Source organism: Homo sapiens, chromosome 7 (assembly GCF_000001405.40).
Source record: "Homo sapiens chromosome 7, GRCh38.p14 Primary Assembly".
In the NCBI taxonomy this organism is placed as follows: Eukaryota; Metazoa; Chordata; class Mammalia; order Primates; family Hominidae; genus Homo; species Homo sapiens.
In genome coordinates, this window is record NC_000007.14 from 78,571,883 (window position 1) to 78,598,944 (window position 27,062).

At 38.1% G+C, this 27,062-nt stretch overlaps 1 protein-coding gene across 14 annotated transcripts in view, besides 2 other annotated features; it reads right to left on the reverse strand.

Annotated features, from left to right (window-relative positions):
• The window catches only part of MAGI2 (membrane associated guanylate kinase, WW and PDZ domain containing 2), a 1,436,613-nt gene that overhangs the window by 554,828 nt on the left and 854,723 nt on the right, over positions 1-27,062 (reverse strand). The window lies entirely within an intron of this gene.
• Positions 5,762-6,261: an enhancer, noted in NCBI's record as "OCT4-NANOG-H3K27ac hESC enhancer chr7:78206961-78207460 (GRCh37/hg19 assembly coordinates)". NCBI's record gives its function as "activates a minimal SCP1, AML or CMV promoter by ChIP-STARR-seq in naive and primed H9 embryonic stem cells {active_cell/tissue: H9 hESC(naive and primed)}" and the evidence as "EXISTENCE:reporter gene assay evidence [ECO:0000049][PMID:30033119]".
• Positions 6,591-7,327: an enhancer, noted in NCBI's record as "OCT4-NANOG-H3K27ac hESC enhancer chr7:78207790-78208526 (GRCh37/hg19 assembly coordinates)". NCBI's record gives its function as "activates a minimal SCP1, AML or CMV promoter by ChIP-STARR-seq in naive and primed H9 embryonic stem cells {active_cell/tissue: H9 hESC(naive and primed)}" and the evidence as "EXISTENCE:reporter gene assay evidence [ECO:0000049][PMID:30033119]".

Here is a 27,062-nt window from a genome sequence, read left to right on the forward strand (position 1 = left end):
TAACTTAAAATTTTCATTTTGTAGACATGGGCTCTTTCCAGATATTTCTAACATTCAATTTCTGATATGGCAAAGTCCTGGCACGCAGGACTTACCACTATTTGTCTACTTGTTTTCAAAACATTTGGAAGTGTATATAGATTGCAAATTTAAAAGATGAAAGCATTATAACAAATGGTTTCTAATACAACAAATTAAAAAAAGAATTCTAAAACTAAATAAGAGGCAATAGCAAATCATCGATGGGGAAAATAAATGTCTTTATTTTGCTGCTTGTGGTCATTTCGTGGTTCAGCAAAGACTTTCAGTGGCGTTCATGTTTCTTTTACTAAGCTCCTCAGAGATTATGACTGTTTTAATGCTATTTAATTGATTATCGAGGAAATCAGGGTTTGTGATATCCTTTAAGTCATGCCAATCCCAAAGAATATTCAAATAAATATTGAAATGCAAATTTAACACTCTCATCAAGTAAGTCTAACTTTCATCCTTGGTCAAGTAGGTAAGGCATATCAGACAGAGGCAAAAGTTCATAGATGTGGGGCTATGCTGTTAAATTGGCGGCCCTCAGGGAACCATGCCTCCCAGTATTCATATAATTGTTCAGAACTTTCCCTCCCTGACTCTGTTGAAAGTAGTATATTCACATATTTTAGACAAATTGTCCTACAAGGTATAAAAAGGTAACAGAATTCCCTTACCTACCCCCCAGATTCCTATCCCTGGATGCAATCATTATCTACTCTGATTTTTTGTTTTGGCTATTTACTTTTATATTTATTTATTTATTTATTTTTGAGACAGAGTTTCGCTCTTGTTGCCCAGGCTGGAGTGCCATGGTGCGATCTTGGCTCACCGCAACCTCCGCCTCCCAGGTTCAAGCAATTCTCCTGCCTTAGCCACCCAAGTAGCTGGGATTACAGGCATGTGCCACCATGCCCAGCTAATTTTGTATTTTTAATAGATACAAGGTTTCCCCATGTTGGTCAGGCTGGTCTCAAACTCTCGACCTCAGGTGATCCGCCTCACTCGGCCTCACGATTACAGGCATGAGCCACCATGCCTGGCCAATTCTTGTGATTTTAAAGTTTCTGTATTAGTCATTGTTCACTAGAGGAACAGAACTAATAGGATATATATATGCATATGTATGTATATATATATATATATATATATATATATATATATATATATACACACACACACACACACGGAGAGATATACATATGGAGAGAGATATATATATACACACATACACATATATATATAGGCTATATATATACACACACACGTACCCTGGAACTTTTATATATATATATATAAATATATATATAAATATATATAAATATAAATATATATATATAAATATATATAAATATAAATATATATAAATATATATATTTATATAAATATATATATTTATATATATAAATATATAAATATATATATAAATATATATATATAGAGAGAGAGAATCCTGGAAATATATATATATATATATATATATATATATATATATATAGGCTGCCACTGACACCTCAAGCACCATTTGATCTGCTGGGTCATATGGCCCAAGTGGCAGAGCAGCAGCCTGGACCTGTTGCAGAGCCTTCTCCTCCTCTGGGCCCCATTCAAAAATAGCAGCCTTTCGGGTCGCTTGATAAATGGGCCGGAGTAACACAATTTCTTTGAAGCCCTTCATTTATTCCCAATTATTTGTTTCCTTTGGATTTACCTTTTAGGTTTTGTCTTTCGGGTTTGAGACTTCATCCAGTATTTGGTAATCCTTATTATGCTTTTACATTTAAAATTGGATTAGAAAAAAAAAATTTGATTGTATGATCTGTGCGAGTGGGTGGGGCTCATCCACTGATGGGTTTCACTGCACATTGAATGGTGAGTTGGGTTTTTATTGGAGGGTTCCCATTGCCAAGTACCCGGAGCTATTTGCCTTCTCCATAGAAGAATCCTCCAGTTTCTTTCATGAAGGGTTTCAGTCTGGCTAGAGGCATCCTGAGATCTGAGCTGAGTACAGACTTTTCCTTAATTCTCCTATTTTCAGCCTGACATCAAGCCCTGCCCCTGGGTATGCCCATGGCTATGTATACAGGTGGCCTTAGTTTCTCCATTGATATTTCTCCAATTTCTCCAAAGAATAATCATCTAACATTTGGCTAGATTGAGTAAGAAAAAGGGTAGTTGGTTGGATATATATGGTGGACATGGAGAGCTGGTGCCAACTGATCTATCAACCATGTTCCCTTTTTGAGCTCCAGGTTTTACCCCACCTTCAGCAAGCCCCAGTGCCTCCAGTTTCCGTGACTTTCCAAGATCCTGTGAAAAGGTGACAGGGTGGAGGGCGGTGACATTGCTAACTGGCATTTCTTACCACAGGCTTTCACATTTCATTACAATTTCTGTTGCTCCCATCAGTCAGATGTATTCCTCCATCCCCTTTCCTGATTCTGAAAATGTGTTGGCCTCTCCAGTCTTCTGATTCCTTGCCCATTTCTTTTTCTGCATGGATTTATATATTTTACCATGTATACTGTCATTTTAGTGATGTTTCAGGAATAAGCAGAAATTAAACACATGTGTTCACTATGTCAAATTAACTCCAAGACTTCTATAATTTTAGATACAATTGCCACTGATAAGGATGGCATTGTAACTCATTAAGAACGACTTAATGTAATGCTTGACTTGTTTAACATATAGTTAGATCTTGATGCTGGATAAGTATTAGAGTACATAATCAAGCAATTGGCAACCACTATAGTTTTCTAAAGTAGAAAGCGTTCTAGTCCAATTTGAATTCTTCTAAAATAGAATTATAGTCCTCACCACAAGTGGAAAGTGATAAATGTCATTTACAATGTACTGTTATGAGACACGTTGATTACAGGAAGGTTTGAAATTCAATTTCAAATGTTAGGCATTGGCAAGGTGATGACGGTGAATAACTGTTTTGTATGCAGTGAATAGTTATCATCCAAAAAATCAGCTTTTGTAAATGTATTAAGTGTTATCTTTAGAAAATATTCAAGACCATGCTTAAATTCCACTTTCTCTACCATGTCATCTCCCTAACTTCTTAGCCAGAAACCATCTCATCCTCATCCTGTAAACATTTGCTGTCTACACCCGCAGTTTCTAATGTTTTTAATTTCACTGAGTGAGAACTGATTGCCCACTGGGTCCCTCTCTTCCAACTGAAGTAACAACACAGGGTTGCCACATTTCTTGGCCCTCTAAGGATATTAAACAAACAAACACTTTAAAAAAAAATCTCACAAAATAATTATTAACTATCACTATCATTCCATTTAAAAGGAGCTACTAGCTACAGAACTAGCAACCAAAAAATAATAAAGTATTGGATTATAGCCAAAGTATAAAATATTAGGTTTGAAAGTAACGGCAAAAACTATGATTACTTTTTGCACCAACCTAATGATTGATTGAATGAATAAATGAGGTAGAATAGAAAAATCTCCCGTATAGAAGAATTCTATTTAATGTATATAGATGCTGTTATATAATGTATATAGATATCAAGGAGGAGAAGCATAAATCCCCACTACTTAAGTGTGGGCTGCACATAGTGACTTTTTTCCAAGGACTACATAAATGAAAGGGGGTAGAGTGTGGGGGAAATCACCTTACAGTAAAGAAACCCCACAAGCATCACTCAGTTACATGATGAAGCTTAATATCGATAGTGATAAGTCACATTGATCACACATCCCTTTAATAAAATGATGAGAATGGCACTTTATCTCTATGATCTTTTTCTCCCAAACCCATAACCCAGACTAACCATGAGAAAAACATCAGACAAACTCAAACTGATAGTCATTCTACAAAATACTTGACAAATACTCCTCAAAATTGTGAGTCACCAAAAATAAGGAAAATCTGAGAAATTGTCACAATCTAAGGGACATAATAATTATATGTAATGTGGTATCCTGGGTGAAATTCTGCAACAGAAAAAGAATATTAGGTAAAAACAAAAGAAATGTATGGACTTCAGTTAATAATAATATATCAACATAGGTTTATTAGTTACGACAAACATACCACACTAATGCAAGATAACAGAGAAAATTGGATGAAAGTTAAACATAAACTCTCTGTACTATTTTTGTACATAAATATAATCTATTCTAAATAAAATATAAATCTATTCTAAAATAAAAAGTTTTCATGAAAACTACCACAACAGTAGAATGAAAACACTTCTGTAAATTCAGGGCTTTATTTCTGAAAAACAACAAAAACAACAACAACAAACCTCTCTATAATGCTTTTTTTTTTTCTTGTTTTGTCACAGTTTAGAACTTTTTCAAGAATCCAGACTACTCAACTGGCTTTTGGGACACATTGGTCTCTAGCATTCTGGGTTACTCATTTGTGGTATTATTGTGACATGCACAATCTACCACTTCCTTTGAGGAGATTTTAAAAGAGATTTTATGTTTGAATCTATTGGAGACTGGGAGGGCCTCAGAAGCAAGGTCTCTCTGATTGCCTCTGGCCCTCCTGTCTGTCATTCCCCTTTCTCCCACAAGGCATGTCATAGAAACCAGAATTCCTCTCTTCCAAGGCAGGTCATATAAACCAGAACTCCCCTCTCCCAGAGCAAGCCATAAAACTTAGAAAGGTCACATTCTGACCTACTTTTCCTGAAAGTCCATCAGAAGACCACAGAGGAAGGAATGTTACACATAGACACCAAGGAAAATCTGAACAGACAGGCCTTGCTGGGTTTCCTTCAATTTATTATCATTAAATCATCCCCTTTTGTCCAGTCACATTTCCCCACAACTATTCACTTCTTTCATCAAACTTAGCATAAAAGTACAGTTTTTCCTGGGTCTTTGGGTCTCCATTTCTGAAGTCTTCCATGTCATGTAAAACTTTTTTAAATAGGCTGGGTGCAGTGGCTCATGCCTGTAATCCTAGCACTTTGGGAGTCTGAGGCAGGCGTATTACTTGAAGACAGGAGTTCAAGACCAGTCTGGCCAATATAGTTAAGCCCTGTCTCTACTAAAACAAACAAGCAAGCAAACAAAACAAAAAACCCACACAACTTTGTTAAAACAAAGTTGTTATGCTTTTCTCTTGTCAATCTGCTTTTTTGTTATAGGGGTGTCAGCCATGCACAGGATATTGCTTTCCTCTTCTATACTTAACACCGTGCTTTCTACATAATAGATTCTAAAGAAAAAGGATATTTTTTGTGTAATTTATTTGCATTATTTTATTTCACTAATTTGGAAATAATAAATATACAGGCAAAACTTAAATAGGTGCTACTAATTTTATGGAAAATAACTAAAATTCTAAAATAAAATGAGGTGATAAAAGTAATTCTAAAGCATGGGAAAGCCATAAATATGAAAATTCATATCTCTGTTCAAAAATGAAAACAACAACATATAAGGTATGGGGTCCTAATTGAATTAAAAGATTAATATGAGTCAGCAATATGTTATTGTTATATATTTGAAATAAGCAATATCATAAAGGTTGAATTGTTTTATGAGCATTTTGACTGTTTTCATTACATTTTAGAAATTATGCTGATTTTCATGCACGTCCGTGTGAAGAGACCACCAAACAGGCTTTGTGTGAGCAATAAAGCTGTTTATTTCACCTGGGTGCAGGTGGGCTGAGTCCGAAAAGAGAGTCAGTGAAGGGAGATAGGGGTGGGGCTGTTTTATAGGATTTGGGTAGGTAAAGGAAAAAGGGGGGTTGTTCTCTGGCGGGCAGGAGTCGGGGGGTCACAAGGTACTCAGTGGGGGAGCTTTTGAGCCAGGATGAGCCAGGAGAAGGAATTTCACAAGACAATGTCATCAGTTAAGGCAGGAACAGGCCATTCTCACTTCTTTTGTGGTGGAATGTCATCAGTTAAGGCAGAAACTGGCGATCTGGATGTGTACGTGCAGGTCACAGGGGATATGATGGCTTAGCTTGGGCTCAGAGGCCTGACTCTGATCATGTAATATTTCCTTAATTAGAAGAATTTAATTAAAAATTAGATTTCATGACAAAAAATTTAAACTGAAGTTATTCAGAGGAGATATTTTTATCCTTGTTTTGGGGTTCATTAATATGAAAACCAGTTATCACTGTGAAAAAGACCAAAAAAAAAAAAAAGAGACCTTCAATTGTATTCTCTATATTTGTATATTTTATTGGTTTTCACTTTAAGTAGGGAAAATTTGGCAGGATATAATTATATTTTTGGATGATCATAAAACATGTTTATATAGGTTACTAATCTTTTATTCTGGTTGTATTTAAGAATAAAAAACCTCAAAATCCATAAATACCAAGAAAGAGGAGCCTGAGAATGTAAGAACCCTATGGAAGAAAAGCTTTATATTTTTTATTTTTTTGAGAGAGAGCTATGAAGATGAAAATATTACATATAATAAAGGACAATGTACATAGTACATGTATATTACATAGAGCAAATGGAAACCAATGTAAACCCATCAGTATGTTAAACATAGTTGTGTGGACAGGGAAAATGGGTGCATAAAGAGATAAAACATAGAAAAGAGAATAAATGGAAAAAACATAGAAGTAAAAATAAGAAAGGGTAAATGAAAAAGGCAAAAGAGGAAGAACTGAGGAGTGAGAATAAAAAATGGAGGATTATTTTTTATTTTTATCCTTCTCTAAAGCTAACTAGAATTATGGAGGATATATACAGAGAGAAATAGAAGATACAAAAAGGAAGGGAAAGAGAAAGGAAGAAGGAGGACTGCTTTGAAGATTCTAAATTGAATGCACTGTCACACTGTAAGCTTCTAGAGCTGTGGATGTGAGTGTGTTAACACCTTGTATTCCTCTATTTGAATTGCTAATGAGCTCATTAACCACTGTTCATGACTCTCAGTGGAGGCCAGGGCATTATCCCTCGGGGTTGACCTGATGCCTGAACAAAGCAAAATACTCCCAGGCCTTCAAAGAAACTTCTCCTTTCCCCACAATACCCTCAACCCCTTTGTTGGATATTTAAATATTTGGTTTTCTGGAAGCTTTTCCCAATCACTTTTTGTCTCCATTGTGAGTCCCAATGCCTGGAAAACCCTCACCGGGGGTTCTACAGTCAGCCTTCTATTCCCATGTCTCATCTGTGTGGCTCACTCCTTTGTGAAGCTTTCCTCAGGTACAGCCACAATCACATCCCATCTTCCTGCTAGACTATAAGCTCCATGCTACTTAAAGGAAAAATAAAAAGCAACAACAAAAAACAAAACTGAGGCAAAATTAAAACAAGTAGAGACTTTATTTGGACCAAGTTTGAGGAGTGCAAGCTGGGAGCACTAATCTTAATCACAGCTATATTCCAGTAACTAACAGTGACTGACCTAGAGAAGGTGCTAAATACATATCAGATGGGTGAATGAATACAATGAATGGATGGATGAGTAGTGTGGGAGACCAGGATATACCTCCCCAAAATATGAAGGAGGGTTGAGCTGAAGACAAACAAGAAGCAGCAGAGGCAGGAAAGCTCTTTGCCTTCCATTTACCTAAAAGCAGGATATAGATTTACAAAAACAAAAGGTATCCCACCTCCCCTTCTACCAGGGAGAACAAAGATTAACCACTGAAGACAATTTTAGACCCTTATTGACCTGGAGATGGTACCAGAGGAATCTGCGTTAACAAGCTTCACTAACTAGCCTTTTTATGCCATTATTGCCTTTTCACAAGTTGCTTCCCCTAGAGACTCAGAGTCTTTTCCTTTGTCTTGCCATTTCTTTAAAAATTTACTATTCTATTCTTAGTTGAAGATGCTATATAAGCCACTTCTAGGAGAACTACTTTATTTCCTGTCTCCCATGTATATATAAAATATTCATGTTAATAAACTTCTGCTTTTCTCTTGTTAATCTATTTTTTTCTTACAGGGATCCATTCTAACTAAGAACCGATGGGGGTTACTCTTCCCTACACTAGTCTAAACTACCCACTTGTCTGTTTCCAACTTGATTATGATATTTGACTGCAGCGACCAACTGCTCGTCTATTGATCTCTAATATCCAGTATTGTACACCTGGCATATACTTAGACTTGCAACTGAATGAATGAACTGATGGAACTGCCAGAGATATTCTCAACCAAACAATTTATAAAATGTAACTTAGAATGAAGCTTTTTGAAGTAACTTTTTTTATAATATGGTGAATGTAATGTGTTTATGTATATGTGAATATGTATGTGTGAATTTTATGATGAGATGCTCCTCAAAAATAAGGGAAATTATTTTTCCCTTTGAAATTTAAAAATTAATAAGATAGATCAAAAACACACATGCTAACTTAAAAAGAATCTGACAGTACAGAGCAATATTATCATGTACCCATTTAAGAGAGGAATATCAATGGATTAAAAGAAAATCAAGGGGAAAATGATGACTGGCCCTCTGTGCTACAGTTCTTGAAAAGGACAATAGGTTCTTCTAAACAAGGTAATGATGTACGTGTTCAGTCACATGTACAATCCATGTAGAACAACTCACAAATGTTATCTGATGAGTATTTCCTGTTGATGTGTATTGTACAATGCAATCTACACAGACTGGTGAGGCAGAAGAAGAATCATGATACCTCATCCCAATTGGGGCACAGGCAGGTTTCAGAACATTAAATTTTAACATAATCCATAGATACAAAATTGAAAGTGATTTAACTTCCTCATGATCATTCATAGCCAGCCAAACCTAGTTAGAAAAAACTTGAGCTAGTTCAGCAAATGACTCTCAAAGTACTCTGTAGGAATCTTAAGTGAATTCTGATGCCTACGTATAGCCCATTCAGATCAGAAAGACTAAAGAGAATGAGTTTTATCTATTTCTATCCAACATTTGATGAGGACAAATTTTAGTCATATTATTCATTCTTGATTTGAAATTATTTTTAAACAAAAACATAAAGTTCTGTCTGTCCTGTCTGGGTCTACTGAGTAGACAAACAAACATCCCACACCCTTCCCCATCCCAATCAAGATAATGACATCACAAATGCAGATGACGACAGATCTAATTTCAATAGAATTTTGAATTTAATGCCATATAAATAATTTAGTTCTCATTTATAGTCTTTTTGAATTATGATGGTGAGTGACTAGGGATGCATAATTTCAGCTTCTACTTTTCAATAAAATTCTCAAGGAAACACAGAGAGATGTAATTATACCATTTGAAAAAACTCAGTATTAGCTTACAACACTTGGTGAGTGCCAGCAGAAATATCTGCTCAGAGACTCTGAGGAAGAGCTGCAGGCCCAGGCTTGGGGGAGGGAGGATATGTATAAGCACCTTGACTACAACTGCTCCCCTCAAGGGTGTCTGGCCTTCTTCAACCAAAGGAAGCAAAGACCTACCTCTTGCTTCTCTCCAAGGGAGTTGCTTCTTGATGCTATCAGGGCCATTTTATACATATACATATGCCATCACTGCCATTAGTATTCATTTTTATCCATTCAAGGTCCGTGCTTTCCAGTAGTTTAATACCACCAGGGTGGGTACAGATATGCATAGCAGTATATGGTTAGAACTTTGACTGTAAATCAGCAGTAGGGAGGGTAGAGACAAGAGCAATTCTTTAAGAGCAGTAACTTCACACATTTTATTTTCTAGAGAAAAATCACACACTACTTGAAATAACACAAAAATGAACTTCCTTCCCATATTTACATGATTAGGTAAGTAGGGGGAAAGAAATATCTTTCTCTCTCATTGCTAGGATTATCATTGAAGCCCCTGTAATAAAAGACAGATTAAGAGAGAAAGCATACAAATTTGGTTAAGTTTTGGATGACACAGAAGCTTACATAAGGAAATGAAGACCCAAAGAACAAGGAAAACCTGTGCATTTTTTTTTCTGTTAAATGAAGAAGAGGACTGTTGTGGAGAGGTGTGATTGGGCAAAGGGAGTATGAACTAATAGCAATAAACTAGGAGGAACTTAGTAAGGCCTGTTTGTTAAGATTCTCCTCTGTGTTCTTGTGCCTTCAGAAGTAAGGACATTCCTTTCCTCCGGGTATATGGAGAGCACCTCTTACATGAGAATCTTAGGACCTGCTTTAGGGGAAGGTCAGGAACTCCTTCCTAGGTTTTATAACTTGCTTTAGCAGAAAAGGGGTAAGGGGATGATGAGAGTGACTTTCCTGCTTCTGTTGTTTTCTCAGATGCAAAGGTACCATGTTTTTGAGTAGTGTGTCCTGAACCCCATCAGGTAGCAAAAGCAGTTTTCTGCTTAGTTCAGCAGAGTAAACTGATTTTTGAAAATGGCTTGGTTTTAAAAATGTGACATGTAACCATGCCCCTCAACCAGTCTTCAGGTATAAGGCAGGAAAGGAGTCTAAGAGCAACCACGTGGGAAGTGAAGGAGAATGGGAAACATCTGTGGTTGAAAAACATTAGATCTGGATATTCCTGTCCTCACTGAACAGAAAGTCACCAACTGAGATCTGTAAAATTGTTATGCAATATAAAAGAAGGGAACAATTGCACCTGGAATTGCACCAAAGCATACTTTGGAAATGAAATGTTTATGGAAGTGATATATGTGATTTCCAGGCCTAAGTCATAGCAATTTGCTAGACCATCCTTTACCCTTTTCCCTGACAGCCAAAGGGAGACAATTCCAGTTAGGAGCCATGTGCCAAGAGGCAATATGAAGGAATCTGATGCCTGAATGAACACTTGAAAGACAGCTACCTACCAGAAGCACCTGCATTTGACTGTTGCTTGAGCAATAAATACATTTTTATTGGGTTAAAACATTTTCTTAACACTATGATTTCAGGACACATTTGTTACGGCAGCTAGCATTAAGTTAATTATAACATAGACTCCTCTAGAAAAATGGGACCAGTTACATTGTTTGGTTTTGGAAGGGGAATAGAAAATACACCCACCTTACCTGATTTAATACTTTAGAAAGACCTATGTTTCCAAATATAGCCCTGCCATTAACTCATTGAGCTTTGGGAAGCCACTTAAAATATAGGAGCCTCAGTTTCCTTATTCGTCAAAGTATTTTCAACAGCTACCCCTAAATTAGTTGCTGCTTACCTTTTCCCAGATTTAAAATTCTGTGATTCTTTTATTATAAGTGAAAATTCTAAGTTAATGTCAGATACCACTCAAGTCAACACGGAGGAAGTGTGAGTATAGAAAAAGACTAGGGATTATTTATTAATAATCCACCTTGAGATGACTTGCTAACACACTTTATAACAAAACACATATAAAAAAGAACTGAGCCTTGACAGAGTAAACATAAGCCTCTCTCACCCCTTAAAAATTATGAAAATAGGCTGGGCCTGTAATCCCAGCACTTTGGGAGGCCGAGGCGGGCGGATCACGAGGTCAGGAGATCAAGACCATCCTGGCTAACATGGTGAAACACCGTCTCTACTAAAAATAAAAAAAATTAGCTGGGCGTGGTGGCGGGCGCCTGTGGTCCCAGCTACTTGAGAGGCTGAGGAAGGTGAATCGCGTGAACCTGGGAGGCAGAGGTTGCGGTGAGCCGAGATCATGCCACTGCACTCCAGCCTGGGCGACAGAGCGAGACTCCGTCTAAAAATAAAAAAATAAAAATAAATAAAAATTAAAAAATTATGAAAATATATGTTTTAGAAGTGAATAAAAACAAAAATTTCCCCCAAAATATATCAAGAAACTGTAAACACATCTCTGTAGAAACGTCAGTAAGAGAACAAAGTGAAGGACAAGATTAGATCCAAGCTGAATACTTCAAGCAGTAGCCAAAATGGGTGACAGTAATGATATTATCCTTTTGGGGAATACTGTAAATGAAGACCTGTTGCTTGATTGATTTATAATTAGAATCAGCAATATTCTAGACAGTACTGAAGAGAACAATCATGTATTGGCAGGGGAGAATGAGATGATAACCTAAAAGTCAGTTTCATTTCTCTTGTCTATGGTAATTGAGTCCTTATAATGGAGAATTCAGGGGAAGCCAAATGGAGACAATTTCACCTTCTTCATTGTCACCCTCTGCATTGAGCTCAAATACCCTTCTAGAATAAATTACACAAGTGCTTCTAAATAGCAGAGGTCAGTCACTAAGCAGTTTTATAAGAAGCTTATGTAACCCATGTGTGATGGGAAAAAACCAAACCAAATCAAACAACAATAAACATTTAAACTTCAGAGTACTAGCTCAGAGCGGGAGTCAACCTTAAGAAAGGACACTGGGGCCGGGCACGGTGGCTCACGCCTGTAATCCCAGGACTTTGGGAGGCAGAGGCAGGCAGATCACAAGGTCAAGAGTTCGAGACCAGCCTGGTCAATACGGTGAAACCCTGTCTCTACTAAAAATACAAAAAGTAGTCGGGCATGGTGGCAGTCGCCTGTAATCCCAGCTACTCAGGAAGCTGAGGCAGAAGAATCACTTGAACTCGAGAGGCAGAGGTTGCAGTGAGCCAAGATCGTACCACTGCATTCCAGCCTGGGTGACAGAGTGAGACTCCGTCTCAGAAAAAAAAAAAAAAAAAAAAAAAAAAAAAGAAACAAAGACGTTAGACTAATGGAGTTTTCTAATCAGCACTCAGAAAGGAAAATACTACTTTCCTACATGAAATGATGAAGGTGTTAAAAGCTTTCTGCATGGCATCAGCACAGTGCAGAGCACACGAAACATATGTGTGATGAAGACCAAGTGCAACCTAGACCTAATGCAGTTGTAATTCAGGGGCAGTAGCAGGCTTGAGAAATACTGCTGCTGAGCTGTGTGATTGAAGAAGGTGGCTGGCACCTTATAAGCCCTGCACTGAGCTTGGGAGGTATGGCAGGAGGTGGTGATAAAGTGCCTGGGCTTCGGATATCAGCCAAACCTTGGCTCAAATCCTGATTCTACCACTAACTAGCTGTTTTATTGTTTAATGTTAATGGCTTAGCTGTTTAATGGCAAGTTACTTAGCCACTCAATTTCCTTATCTATAAAATGAAGATAATAATATGTACCTCACAGGGGTTTTGTAGGATTTAAATGAGACTGAAATTTTGTAGTAGGATATCCAGGTGAGGCCTAATCTGTGCCTGCTACTAGGATTTAAAGATGTTTGAAAAAGTCTGATGAAATGGTGAAGTAGGCTACTCAGGATACTATTTTCACATAGGATAAAAGGGGTTCCAGAAAACAAACTTCGGAAGGAAGAATTACTTTGAGTTGGTAATAGTCTCAAAGTCAGTAGGGAGGAATGATTTTTGTATATAGTTTGGCCTGCCATTCAAATCTATTGTGTGTCAGCTCCCTAAATTCATTTCTGCAATTTAGGGAGACAGAGCACTGTGAATACATCCTGAAAAGGTGCTCTCACTAAAATTGTGTTAGACTTCGAGACACCGGTAACTTCACTTTGGTACTCATCTTACAAGGGTTATCAGAATAGAAGAAAAATTTTTCTCTTCCAAATAGGCACTGACCATCATACTCAGGTATCTGAAGGTTCCAGTGCAATAGTGACTGTACCCAGGAAGAACTGCAGTCTCTACCTGAGACTGAGATGAGATAAGGTGTCTCTGCCTGATACGTAGTTGAAAGTGGAAATGGCAGCAGCATAGGAACCGGGGGGACTGTGGCACCTAGTGAAAGAAGAAGGGGTATTTAAAACCAGTGGCAATGTGCAGCTGAGAGAGCAGCACCTGTGAAGGGTGGCTGGTGGCTGGTAGTGCCATGGCAGCTGGAAGACAAACAGCAAAGGCAATGGCAGTGATAACAAGAGGTGCCCAGGGGAAGCAATGGCAGCATTATGTCTAGCAGGCACCCTATAGCTGACTTCACTGGTTGGAGAGCATAGATGTGACACCACATATCAGAAATACTTTGGGAAGGGAATGGGAATACATGAAAGGGAACTGAGAGGGTGGGGTTACTTTACAGTCTTGCATGATCAGATGTAAGCAACTGCTAACTTCATGAAGATGATCACCTTTATGGAGATCACGTAGATGAACCCCAGAGAATGGCAAGTCTGGGAAATCTGAACCAGTAATCAATACACCACAGGAGCTCAATTCGTGATAACATTCTGTCTCCTTTACCCTCTCCTTTCTATTTTAGGTAGACAAAGTAGACTCATATACTGGCTGTATTACCTGCATTAAATGATGACCGAGTGCACCAAATTGTATAATCATGGTTGTCTTTCTCAACCTGTTACCTGATTAGCAAAATGGGAATAGCGTAGCGTGCTCTACAGCTGAGAGATTGCGTAAGTAGATCATTGTTGCAACACTTGCACATCTTCAGCATTCAGCAATGTTAGTTTCCTCCCTCTCTGGATAACTGAAGAACTCTATGCAATTAGTGTCTCAGAACTGACAAGGAAGGAACTTTGGCTAGCTTAGCTGTGATAACTAGAAAAGTAGAAAAGACTGTGGACTTAGAGCAGGAGTTCCAGCTAAGAGTCCCCCCCAAACACCCCCACCCATAACATCTAAGAATTTATTTGATCCTTTCAAATAACTGTGATTCTCTCCCTATGATTAACATTTTATATAAGAAGAAGAAAAGGCTCAAAGTTTTAACATGGGTAAATTCAAGTCTGGGCAATAAGGCAGACTGAACTAACACAATCTGTTATGTTCTTCTCTCCTGCCCAACTTCCACCTTTTTTTCAGATGATAAAATATGCATAACAAAGAATTTGCCATATTGTTTTTAAGTATACTATTCAGTGACATTAAGTACACTCCCATTGTTGTGCAACCATCACCACCACCCATCTCCAGAACCTTCTTCATCTTCCCAGACTCAAACTATACGAATCAAACCAGAACTCTCCATTCTTCTCTCCCTGCAGTCCTCACAACCACCCTTCTATATTCTGTCTATGAATCTGACCACTCTACGTAGTTGACATAAGTAGAATCATACAGTATTTGTCCTTTTGTGACTCGCCTTTTTCACTAAGTATAATGTCTTCAATGTTCATCCATGTTGTAGCATTTTTCAGAATTTCCTTACTTTTTTAAGGCTGAACAATATTCCATTGTATGTATATACCACATTTTGTTTATCTGTTCATTCACTGATGAACATTTGGGTTGCTTCCACCTTTTGGCTATTGTAAATAATGCTGCTATGAACACGGGGGTTTTACAAATGTCTCTTCAAAATCCTGCTTTCAATTTTTTTGGGTATATACCCAGAAGTGAAATTGCTGGATTGTTTGACAGTTCTATTTTTGATATTTTGAGGAACCACTATACTGTTTTCCATAGCAGCTGCACCATTTTATATTCTCACCAGAAATGTACAAGAGTTCCAACTTCTCCATACCCTCACCTTATTATTTTTCCTTTCCTTATCCCCCCTTTTTTTCTCTTTTGATAATAGTCACCCTAATGGGTGTTCTGGCTAAGAATTTTTACCAGGGCTTTCATCACTGTCTAATGAGGAGTGAGGGGAAGCTACCAAAGAATCACAGAGCACTTACAGCTATTTGTTGTTTGCAAATTGCTAGTTATATTTAAGTTAACTTATTCATCTAAATGCAGTTCATTAAAAAAAAGTGGTTCATTTTGTCCTATTTGTCTGTAGATTTCCAGTTAATAGTATCTGTTTCAGTTATTGTTTTTTAAAAAGGTATCTGAAGTGGATATATTTTTCTGGATTGCATTTGCAAACAAAATTTAATCACTTTATACAGTCCAACTGAGTGTTTCTGAGGTGGGACAACCCAACCAGTAGATGACGCTCGTGCCATTTGATTACATTTTACTGGCTAATGTCATGTATCATCCTCCACATTTTGTCTGGATTTCAACTGTAGAGAGCAAATACTCGGCCGTAGCACATAAAACCTTTCTCCAACCTTAAATCATAAGAATATGGTAAATTCAAGGCAATTTTACCAACAAATATGACATCTCTTCTTATAAAGATTCAGAATTTATAATCGTATGTTCATAAAGGTATAAATAAAATGGGTATTCATTACATTGGTTACAGATGAACAAAATGGAATTTAAAAGAATTACAAGATGGATGTCTTGAAGACCTCCAGAAAGCATAGTGAAGTGTCCTCTGGTAATGTCACATTCCAGAATGCCAGCTGTTTACTGGCTGTGTGTGACTCTAGACAAGGAATCTTTGTGAAACTTTTTGGGAAAAAAAGTAAAGTAGGGAATACAATGCATATCCTCTAATGATGAAATAAAACATTGCTGAACAACATCGAGTGTCACAGGCCTCCCAGAATAGGTGCTTGTTCAACGTTAGCCCTCTTTTCTCTCCACCCGACACTTTATCATCTTTGTTATGTGACAATTAACTGGAGGAAGATTTCATCTCAATTATCGTATTTCTTCCCTTTTCATTTTCTTTGGCACAGAAAAATTTAATGTTTACCTTCAAAGCATGAATTGGTGTGTATGTGTATGGGTTCTCCCCAGGAGACAATTTAATATAATTAATAACTTCAAAATCATTTGGGTGATGTGAAATATGCATAGTTATTACAAGCCAGTGTGTGGCAGGGGGAGGGGTAGATGGCTGTTCAGTAGGAGGCAGAGGCAGATAACATATGTGCAAATGGAAGTTAGAAACCAGGCAACCTTCCGAGAGTGAAGGCTGCCAAGTCAGTCTCAAACAACTTGCACCACTCAGGTGCATTCATGCCCAACCCAGAGAGGACTGTGGGCTTGGTGCAGATGACTGGCTGAGCTCCTATCAGAGCCTCTTACTTCCAGCTTCAGGCATTTGTGGAATAGCAATGTAGGTGTGCTGGCTGTGAATAAACTTGGGTTTTGAGCAGCCACATTAACAAGCTAGAATCAACAGGGAGAATTTGCCATAATAAAGCACTTTCCCAGTTGTCACATTGTACTTTTTAAAGTGGCAAGTTTTTCCCAGTGTGCTCCAAATGTGATCAGATTTACAAACAGCTGATTAAAAAGATAGGATTTTAGAGCTGAAAAGCACCTCCGAATTCATCTAATACACTATCTTCATTTTACAAATAAAGAAATAGAGGTTCAAGGGGAGAAATGACTTGCCCACTGTCAGGAACTGAACAAGTAGGAATTCCCAAGCTTCTTAACTATCAGGAAAGGGCTCAGTCCAGAAGGCCACACCAGTGATTTCTTAAACCAGGATTCCTATGTGGTTTATCTCAAAAAGAATTGCTATTGTATTCCCAAACTCCTAGCCTATCACAGAGCTGTTTCCTGATAATTTTACGGTCTGGCCATAAATGTTTTGAAGTAGATACTCAAAAATTCACCAAGCAAATCTACGTTTCATCATCATCATCATCACCATCACCACCATCATGTTTCACACTTACACGGTGCTGATTATGTGGCAGGCACTAACTAATGTAAGAATTTTACATAAATTAACTCACAAAACCCCAGTGAGGGAGGTACCATTCTCAATATCTTGCAGATAAACTGAACACAGAGAAGCTAAACAGCTTGTCCAGAATGTACATGGTTGATAAGTGATGGATTTGGGATTTGGACCCAGCCAGCCTGGCTCTGGAGTCTATGCACATAACTGCTATGCCATATTTCCTCTCAAACAACTGCTATCCTATATTACCACTCCACTCTATGATTAGGATGAGGAGATTTTCCTGATGGTCATATTAAGATAATTTGTTGAATCTGCTTTCCGACCCTAATTCCGTGAGTGAGAGGTGTGGCAGGGAAGAATAGAGCCCCAAAGATACCAGGTGTGATCTACACTTGATCTTAGCCAAAAGGCCGAGAAGCAATACCAGGTGTGATCTAAATTGCATTGCAAATGCTCCATGCACGTAGCCATGGTAGAAAGGGTACATGTCAAATTTGCTGGGGTTTTATTACACTTCAAGAAATATAGCATTCTTTGATTACTTTAAATATAGGTCTTCAATATGGAAAGAGTAATGCAGTCTAAGTAAAACTGAGCAGTTACTTCAAGTCAGGTACAACAAGCAGGTTATTATTTCAAAAATGACATTTTAATTACCACCAGGAGGCCATTAGAAATGCATTCTGGCAGTTTGCTTGGTTCCTTTGGAAAGATAATATTGACAAACTGCTATGAAACTGGAGTTCAGAAAACAGTGTAAATTGAGATCAGGAATAAAACAAACATTTGCTTGTGTACCCTAAAGCAATGATGAACAATTTAAAGAGAGAAGACAAAGTTGAAATTATATTTTTCTTTCTTAGGGAGAGGCAGAAGAGGGAGTAGTTTTGCAGGAAGACTGTTGTGTTCCTAAATTTATTACCTATGTGAATTACTTGATGTATTTAGCATAGCAATTTGAAGCTTCAGCCATCCAAGCACAAGTCACTGAGGAGCTGAGTGCCCTGGAACGCTAATTCTGCCTTCTTCTCCATGCTAGGAGATTGGCTTCTTGTGACCTCTGGTGTGGAGGGTTTCAAAAGAACAGTTTGGTCCTGGAGCTGATCTCCAGTCTCATCAAGGATGACTGGCATAACTCCAGGAGCTTGGGTCATCTTTACAAATTCCACAGCTTTGTCCCTTGGTGATCCCAGGACATTGGGAAAATTTTTCACATTTAGCTTCAGGCATTTGCGGAATAGCAATGTAGGTGTGCTGGCTGTGAATAAACTAAAATATAAAAACCTAAAACATAAAAGGGAAAGACCAGATAAGTACACCTAAAAATCAATGCTCCTATTGCTTATCATGGTTGGTTTTCCTTATAACTAAAATCAGTACAAATGCTTTTTGCTAGTCACGTGGGTTGTCACTGCAGAAGCCACAGGAAAACCATTCAAGCCACTTACCTTTTCTCTCTTTCCTCTAGGAAATACCTTTTGTATTGGTCTGTGTGGTACTTAAACCAAAGGGGAAAAACTGTGGTGACTGATTCTACTACAGGTTAACCATATAAAATAAAGAAAACTCTTGAGATGCCCTATTGGAGCAATGTAATTTACTTTCCTTTCCCTAAAGTAGTTCCAAAGGTGGGGATATTGCTAGGATTTGGGGTCACTTTTATTTCTGAGAAAAAAGGTAAAGATGAATGGTACTTAGATTGCAATACACTAGCCAAATAGCAGTCTCTGTCAGAGACTCCTCCCTCTGACTTTCCTCTCTATATTTATTAATTTATTCCTTTGACAAATATTATTAAAGAGAGTACTATACATGCCTAGATTTATCTAAACTCCAAAGAGATTATGGTCTAGAGAGGAAATAAAATATGTATATGAATAAATGAACACGAGGAAGAAAGAAATAAATACCATGAGAGCAGCACATAGGAAATGCTTTGGGAGATTTTACATGATTATCAAGAGAGATCCAGCAATTCTATTTCAAGAAGTCATATTGACTATATCTCTTCTCCTTCCTGAAACAGACCTCATTGAGAAAGCCACAAGGGATTATAAAAGGTTTTAACCTACAGCAATAAACAAGAGCGGGTTAGAGATCTCATTAAAATACTGCAGGTGAAATTGATGCAGTGGTATCTAATGTAGCCACATCTAGCTGTAGACAAGAATATATTGAGAAAGGGATGAATCCAAGCTGGAGGTGCGGGGAGTACTCTATTCCACAGAACTCCAGAGGCTTGGGACTCAGAGACACTGTGTAAATGAGGTCAGGATGATATATGATGCCAATGGCGGAGCCCTAACATCCACGTAGCCTCTAGCTAAGGAAACAAGCAAATAAGCAGGACTCCCTGATCAGAATTAGGAAGGTAGTCTCTGAGTTGGAATATGGGTAAACCTGTCCTAATGGAAGCATTTGGGACTTGAAAAATTGAGTCTGGCTCCTCACCCACTCTCCCTAAAATGAGGCCATCAATGTGTACACAGAGATCACAGTCAATGTCTCTATTGCTTCATTCCCAAATGTAAATAGGCTATAAGGAATAAACCTTCTTTTCACAAAAACCTAAAACATAAAAGGGAAAGACCAAGATAAGAACATAAGAATCAGTCACAAAAATATAAGAAGAGCAAGATGTTACAAACAATAAAAGCTGCAGCATAAGAGAAGACTCTTGAAAACTTTTTTAAAAAATCTGATGGAAAAAATGTAAAGACATTTTATTAAAGAGTTGTGTGATAAGAACAAGGAAATTCCTTATATTGAGGAGTGAAGTGATAAAGAGAAAAGAAATATGAGGGAGGACAGGTGACTCAGAGGATTAGTCCAGAAAGATCACATCTCACTAATAGGGGTTCCAGACAGAACAGTGAACACAAGGAAAGAAAGTTGCAAAGAAATCTTTTAAATATAGCACTTTCCGGTGCTAAAAGCACATCTTCAAATGGAGAGATTTCATTGCATATCTGAAACAAATATATTTTTAAAAAGTATTCTCTATATAGGTATTGTTGTGATATTTCAGAGCGCCAGGACCAGGAGTCAGCAAACATTTTTTTCTGTAAAGGACCAGAGAGTAAATAGTAGACTATTTTTTTTTTTTTCCTGTAAAGGACCAGAGAGCAAATAGTGCAAGCTCTGTAGGCCATTCAGTATCTGTCCCAACTGCTCTGCTCTCCTGGGTTAGCACAAAAGCAGCCATAGATGTGATTAGAGCAAGGGGATAGAAGGCCCTAAAAGGGCAGTATTTGAAAAAAATAAGGAATTTTATTGAACATATTATATGATGGAGCATTTGAAAGAAAACAATAAAGATACAACAAAGGCAAAGAGTGACGGTAGAAAAAATCAATTAGAAAGAAGAGAAAAACTTAAAACTCACACAGGAAATATAATGATATTACAGCACTCTATTTTGTCTAAGCAATGAACAGATGCATATTTGCATGAACTGTCAGGGGAGGGAATGCGTGTCCATGATTTGGAGACCTGGGAAAGCAGGCACACTGGGGAGGATAGAGCACAGACTGTACACATTGTAAAAGCCCTTGCATGCCCTCCGAAAAATTACTGATTCTCTTTTTTTTTTTTTTTTTTTTTTTTGAGACAGGGTCTCGCTCTGTTGCCCAGGCTGGAGGGCAGTGGTGCAATCTGAGCTTACTGCAACCTCCACCTCCCGAGCTCAAGCAATTCTGCAGCCTCAGCCTTGCGAGTAGCTGGATCACAGGTACTTGCCACCACACCAAGCATTTTTGTATTTTTTGTAGAGATGGAGTTTCACTACATCACCCAAGCTGGTCTCTAACTCCTGAGCTCAAAGCCTAGCCTCCCAAATTGCTAGGATTACGGGCGTGAACCACCGCACCTGGCCCCTGATTTTTTTTTTCTTTCTTTTTTTTAAAGCAATTAGATGAGGGCGGATCACGAGGTCAGGAGATCGAGACCATCCTGGCTAACACGGTGAAACCCTGTCTCTACTAAAAATACAAAAAATTAGCCAGGCTTGGTGGCGGGCGCCTGTAGTCCCAGCTACTCGGGAGGCTGAGGCAGGAGAATGGCGTGAACCCGGGAGGCGGAGCTTGCAGTGAGCTGAGATCGCACTACTGCACTCCAGCCTGGGCGACAGAGCGAGACTCCGTCTCAAAAAAAAGCAATTAGAAACTACTGACAGTTTGAAACGCAGAGTAACAAGATTGGGGTGGCATTTGTGACACATGGGTCTGGTGGCAGTAGTGGACCAGAGGAAGATGAGACGGAAGGCAGGGAGAACCTACATGGGAAACTCGACTGGGCTTCTTGTTTTAGAAGTAGAATATTTTGTTAACCAAGAAGGAAGCATCCACACTGTGCATCTTATAGCTCTTCCATGAATTTTTGTCTGAAAATGACTAACTCTTATTTGTCTTCCAGATGGGATGAAGAGTGCAAAAAATATTATTTGGGGCTTGGTGTCTCTGAGTACAACATGAAAGCAAAAGATACTTGCGTTGGAGTAAGCAGAGACATTTTTCATACATTGGCATTTAAAAAAATTCAAGTTCTTATATAATCCCCAAACTTCCATACTTCCATTTGACTAAAAATTGTCCAAGGTACGGGAACTTTTGTTCTTTTTTGGTCAATATAGCTTTAGAATAGATGTGTTAAAACCGTGGTTCTGAAATGTTAGCTTAGGGAAGCTGCTCTTGTTAAAGATACATATTCTCAATTTCAACTCCCAAACATATCACATTCAAGGGTTTACAGTGAGGGGGTATTGAGAAAATGCATTTTGAACATGCTCACAGATGTTTGGTAGTGCCTGGCTTAAATCATCCTGTAGGAATGTACCTAGTCAACACCATCTCCTTCAACCAACCTATATCCCACTTCACATTTCTGTCTTGTCCTCTTTGATACTCCTCAGAATGTTGAAGCTGCTCTCAGTTTGCCGGAACTATATAGCTTTGGCAGAAGCTTGTCATTTGTTAAGATAATGTTGCCCAATTCTACAATTTAATTCCTATTCTCTGCTACTGTGGAAGGCCAGGTCTCACTAACACAGGCCTCTGTAACAACTATTTCAGCACTGACTGAGTGATTAACTATTAAAAGCTGAAAGAGCCAGTGACTTTATACAAAGGCTGGAATGTAACAAAAGCCCACCAAGAGTTTTGTCCAGGCTTTTTCCGGGCCTTGAAGCATGACAAGATAACAAAGGAATTCTATTTTTTTTGTTGTTTTTTTTGAGACAGAGTCTTGCTCTGTTGCCAGGCTGGCATGCAGTGGTGTGATCTTGGCTCACTGCAAACTCTGCCTCCCGGGTTCAAGTGATTCTCCTGCCTCAGCCTCCTGAGTAGCTGGGATTACAGGCAAGCACCACCATGCCCAGCTAATTTTTGTATTTTTAGTAGAGACGGGGTTTCACCATGTTGGCCAGGATGGTCTTGATCTCTTGATCTCGTGATCTGCCTGCCTCGGCCTCCCAAAGTGTTGGGATTACAGGTGTGAGCCACTACGTCCGGCCAGCAAAGGAATTCTTAAAAGGACCTGTTTAGGATGAAACAAGTTTTACTGGGGGCTAAAGGAGCTCCCCAAACCTCCATAATTTAGTAGGAAACAAGGGTAATCACCCCAGTACTTGGTCCCATTAAGTAAATTTACTAAGGCTACAGAGAAAGGTCTTCAGGACTCAGATCTCAGTTATAGATTAATTATGTCTTTAGATGAATGCCCGCTTACACACAGACATATAGCTTAGAAGGTATATAAGGTCTGGAAGACTTTGTAATTTTGAGTTGGTCTGGCAATATTTTCTGGGCCTTTTCTCTGTAACCGGTTACAGAAATAAAAACTCCCTCCTTTCCAAGTTCATCTGCATCTAGTTACTGGGCCACAGGAATAAGCAGCCCGACCCTCAGTTTGGTCCAGAACACTATGTTTTGCTATTTCACTTGCTAGAGACTTTGGACAAGATGTTCCACAACTTTCCTCTCCCAAATTGTTGCCATGCTGCTTGGAGTCAGAGTAAAAACAAATTATCTGAATATGAGACAATATATAACCTATGGAAAGGCAAATATTTAATTGTGCCTGAATTTAAAGTGGTATTTGACTTCAGTATAAAATTAGGTTCAAGAAATTGTACTGTTTTCTGAAATTATCTTTCTTTTTAAACTAGCTGCGATTTCTGCTTACGCTCTCATCTAACAAGTTTAATTATTACTTTTAAAAAGCAAAGCACTTCACGTTTTGCCCTCTGCTACCTAAGCTGCTAAAGAACAAGTTTCAGAGATATTATGATCAAATGTGAGTTTGACCTAGAATATAAGAATTCGTTTAATTTCTATGCTACTTTCCTCTGAAGAAAACTACGCACTCAGTTCAGAAATATTTTGGCATGACAATCAGCATAATGAGAATTAGTTCATTTTTATTCACTGTATAGAACCAAAATTCAATGGAGAATAAGAAATGCAAATAGAAGGATGTATGATGAGGTCCTCAGAGCCTGGTGGGTTACGGGGAGTAGAATGCTGGGAAGCACAGGAGACCTTAAGTATTTTGAATGTATCGGTAGACTCTCAGAAGCACACAGGTGAGAGACACTAAGATATTCTTGAGTAGAGGGAGAGGTCAGAGAATTTATTTGTTCCTAGAGTTTTTCCAATACAAAGGAAGTATAACACCAGAATGTCTTTGTAATTCAGCTCTCTTTTGGTAGATTTTGAATAGAGATCAAAAGAAATATGCATGAATTGGGATCAAAATTGAGAATTTTCCCTATGATAAAATATGCTTCATAAGAACAGAATCTTTGTCTTGTTCACTGTTGTATCCTCAGTTTGTAGATCAGAAAAAATGCTCAATAAATGTCCATATTAGGAAGGAAGGAGGGAAGGAAGGAGGGAAAGAATGAAGGAAGGAAGGGAGGGAGGGAAGAAATGAAGGAAGGGAGGGAGGGAGGGAGGGAAGGAATGAAGGAAGGGAGGGAGGGAGGGAAGGAAGAAAGGAAAGGTGAAAGGGAGGGAAGAACTGGGATGATACCACACTGGAGAGTTAAGCTGTTAGCAAGAATGGAGCCCTGAAGATGAAGTGTAGTTCCTTTTTATTTAGGTATTGACTGTCAACCCAGTGGTAGATGCTGGGGCAACAAGAGGACCACCATCAGTCCTCTGGCCCCAAGAGCTTCTATCCTGAAGGAAAAAAACATGCAAAATATAACGTGGTGAGTGCTTTCAAGGATGTGGGCTATGATGGGAACAGAGCAAAAGGAGCTTTCAGTTAGTAATGAGTAAAACTAGGATTAAGATCCAAGTCTTCCTACTTTAAATCCTATACTTTTTACGTGAAAGCTCTGTATTAATTAGGTCCACCATGGTAGGAAGGTTCTTGGTGGTGTTAGTTTTGATTCTCAACTGCTTTAAGTTTTAAATACAAACTCCAGGTGATATCTAAATGCCTTTTGGGAAGTTCTTAGGACAGCCTAGTGAGAAAGAATAAACTAGTATATTTTCTTCTTACTTACCAATTACTTCCAGAGTCCTGATTGTCATCCAAATGTCATCAAGACATCCTCATCTTGACCCAGTGTCCAATAGTGTAACAGTACTCAGCTGAGGCATCACAGCAGATACATGAATGGGTCTATCACATAAAATAATTAGCTGGAGTGGAGCATAAATTAGCCCCAGGGAGTTGTACGGAGCCTATTTTAATCTATGTGGCAGGCAGATCTGAGTGAATACAGGTGTGTTGCACATGTGCACATACCTCTCCCACGTTTGGAAGTGGGGAAAAAAAGTTGGAGAGCTGCCACATTAGAGAAATGGCTATTAGGATGCAATAAAAGTTAGAGAAAAAATTCTTTAAGTAGGAATTGTTCCTAAGTTGTTGGTAGAAAGGAGGCTAACCAGAAAGACAAGCTTGAAAAACATGCTGGCAGAAGAGAATATCTGCCTTTAACTAGTTATATAAGATCCAATAAATTTATCTATAGCACTGAGTTATTTCTGAGCATATTCCAATTTGAGAAATGCCTATTTAGCTACTTTTATTTAACATTATAACGTATACTTCTCAGCATACTTGATACATAATAATTTTTGTGAAAATACATAAAAACAGTAAAATAAATGAATTCCTTGGGGGGGGGGGTCTTATAAATAATTTTAGATTTGGATCCCAATGCCCACTTAATCCAGACTAACTTGAAATACGGTCAGAGGCACAAAGTGGTTAACCAATTCAACTCCACATGCAGAAAGCTAAAAATTCTAGTTTTCATAACCCATAAGATTTCAATGAAAGAGCCCAGGCAATGAAACAAGAAATAGAGAAATAAAGGGAAAGGCAGAGATCATTTATACATCACTAAATGGTTTAAATATGGGTAGACTCTCGAGATACATAAACTGCCCTTATCCTTCCTGCTTTTACCTAACCATGAATGCGACTGACCCTGGGAAATGGTCTCTTAATAGTTAAATTGACAATTATTGCAGTAGGGATTTGGGAACTAGGCTATTAAAATATCAGGCTATTTTGGTTTTGCTTAAATATATCTTTACAAGGTTTCTTATAGAATCTTCAATCCGATATTTCCAGAATCTTTGTTGCATCTGGCAAACTGTTTTTTTTTTTCCCCATAGAGTGATTTACTTGGTAAAATTTGCATAAGTCTATTTAATAATAAAAGAAAAATAGGCATGTGACATTCTTCATTTTGTAATCACTATAGTAAGTGACACCAATACAAGGTAAAAACAATATATTCTAAAAACTGCCTCTGAATATTGAATTATTTTGGACTTAACTATCTTCCTGGGATGGTCCTCAAAGAAGAATGGTTCAACATTAAATAGCTAAATCTGCTTATGCATTAATTTAAAATTAAAATATATTTATGGAATGCTTTTTATGAGTAAGGTATCATGTTAAACTCTAGGGATATCATTGTAAACAAAATAATTATATTCTTTCAAGGATTGTATAGTCTAGTGGCCACGGAAATAAATAAATGAAAACTTGCAATAAAGTGTGGTGAATATAATAAGAGGGGATTAGCAAAGGGAGCTCTGGAAATATATTAGACGGTGGGAGAAAGGAGTTAGTCTGGTACGGGGAGGTGCTGAGGAGGAGATTGTAAGAGAGGAGTCCAGGAAGAAGGAAAACCTTGAGTTATGAGAGGGCATGGCCTATTTAGGTAAAGATGGTAGATTAAAATCCAGGAATTGAAGGGAAAGAGGTAGAGAAAAAGAAGTGACACTACAGAGACAGACAGCCAAGGAAACTCTTAAGAACTTTGAACTTCATTCTTAAGGCTAGAAGGAACCCCAAAGGATTTTTAAGCAAGGAAATAAAATGATTGGATTAGTACTCAGATCAGTTGGGTGATAGCATGGAGAATGAATCAAGGAAACCCGTTGGGAGGGGTTGCTTTGATTTGGATAAAAATGCTAATTGCCTGTACTAGGTAAGCTACTGGGAGGTGACACTGGAAACCGTAGACAGGTCTAAGGAATAATTTAGTAAGTACAACCAGGATATAGTGTTAGGTTATTTGGAGTAAATAAGTCAAAGTTAGTAAACATGTTTCTGGCTTGAGAAAGTAGGTACCGTTCATGGAGACAGGTAAGTATCCCTTGAGAGGTTTGGAAGAAGATGAGGAACTAGTTTCAAACATACTGAGTTGAATGCTTATGGGACATCAAACA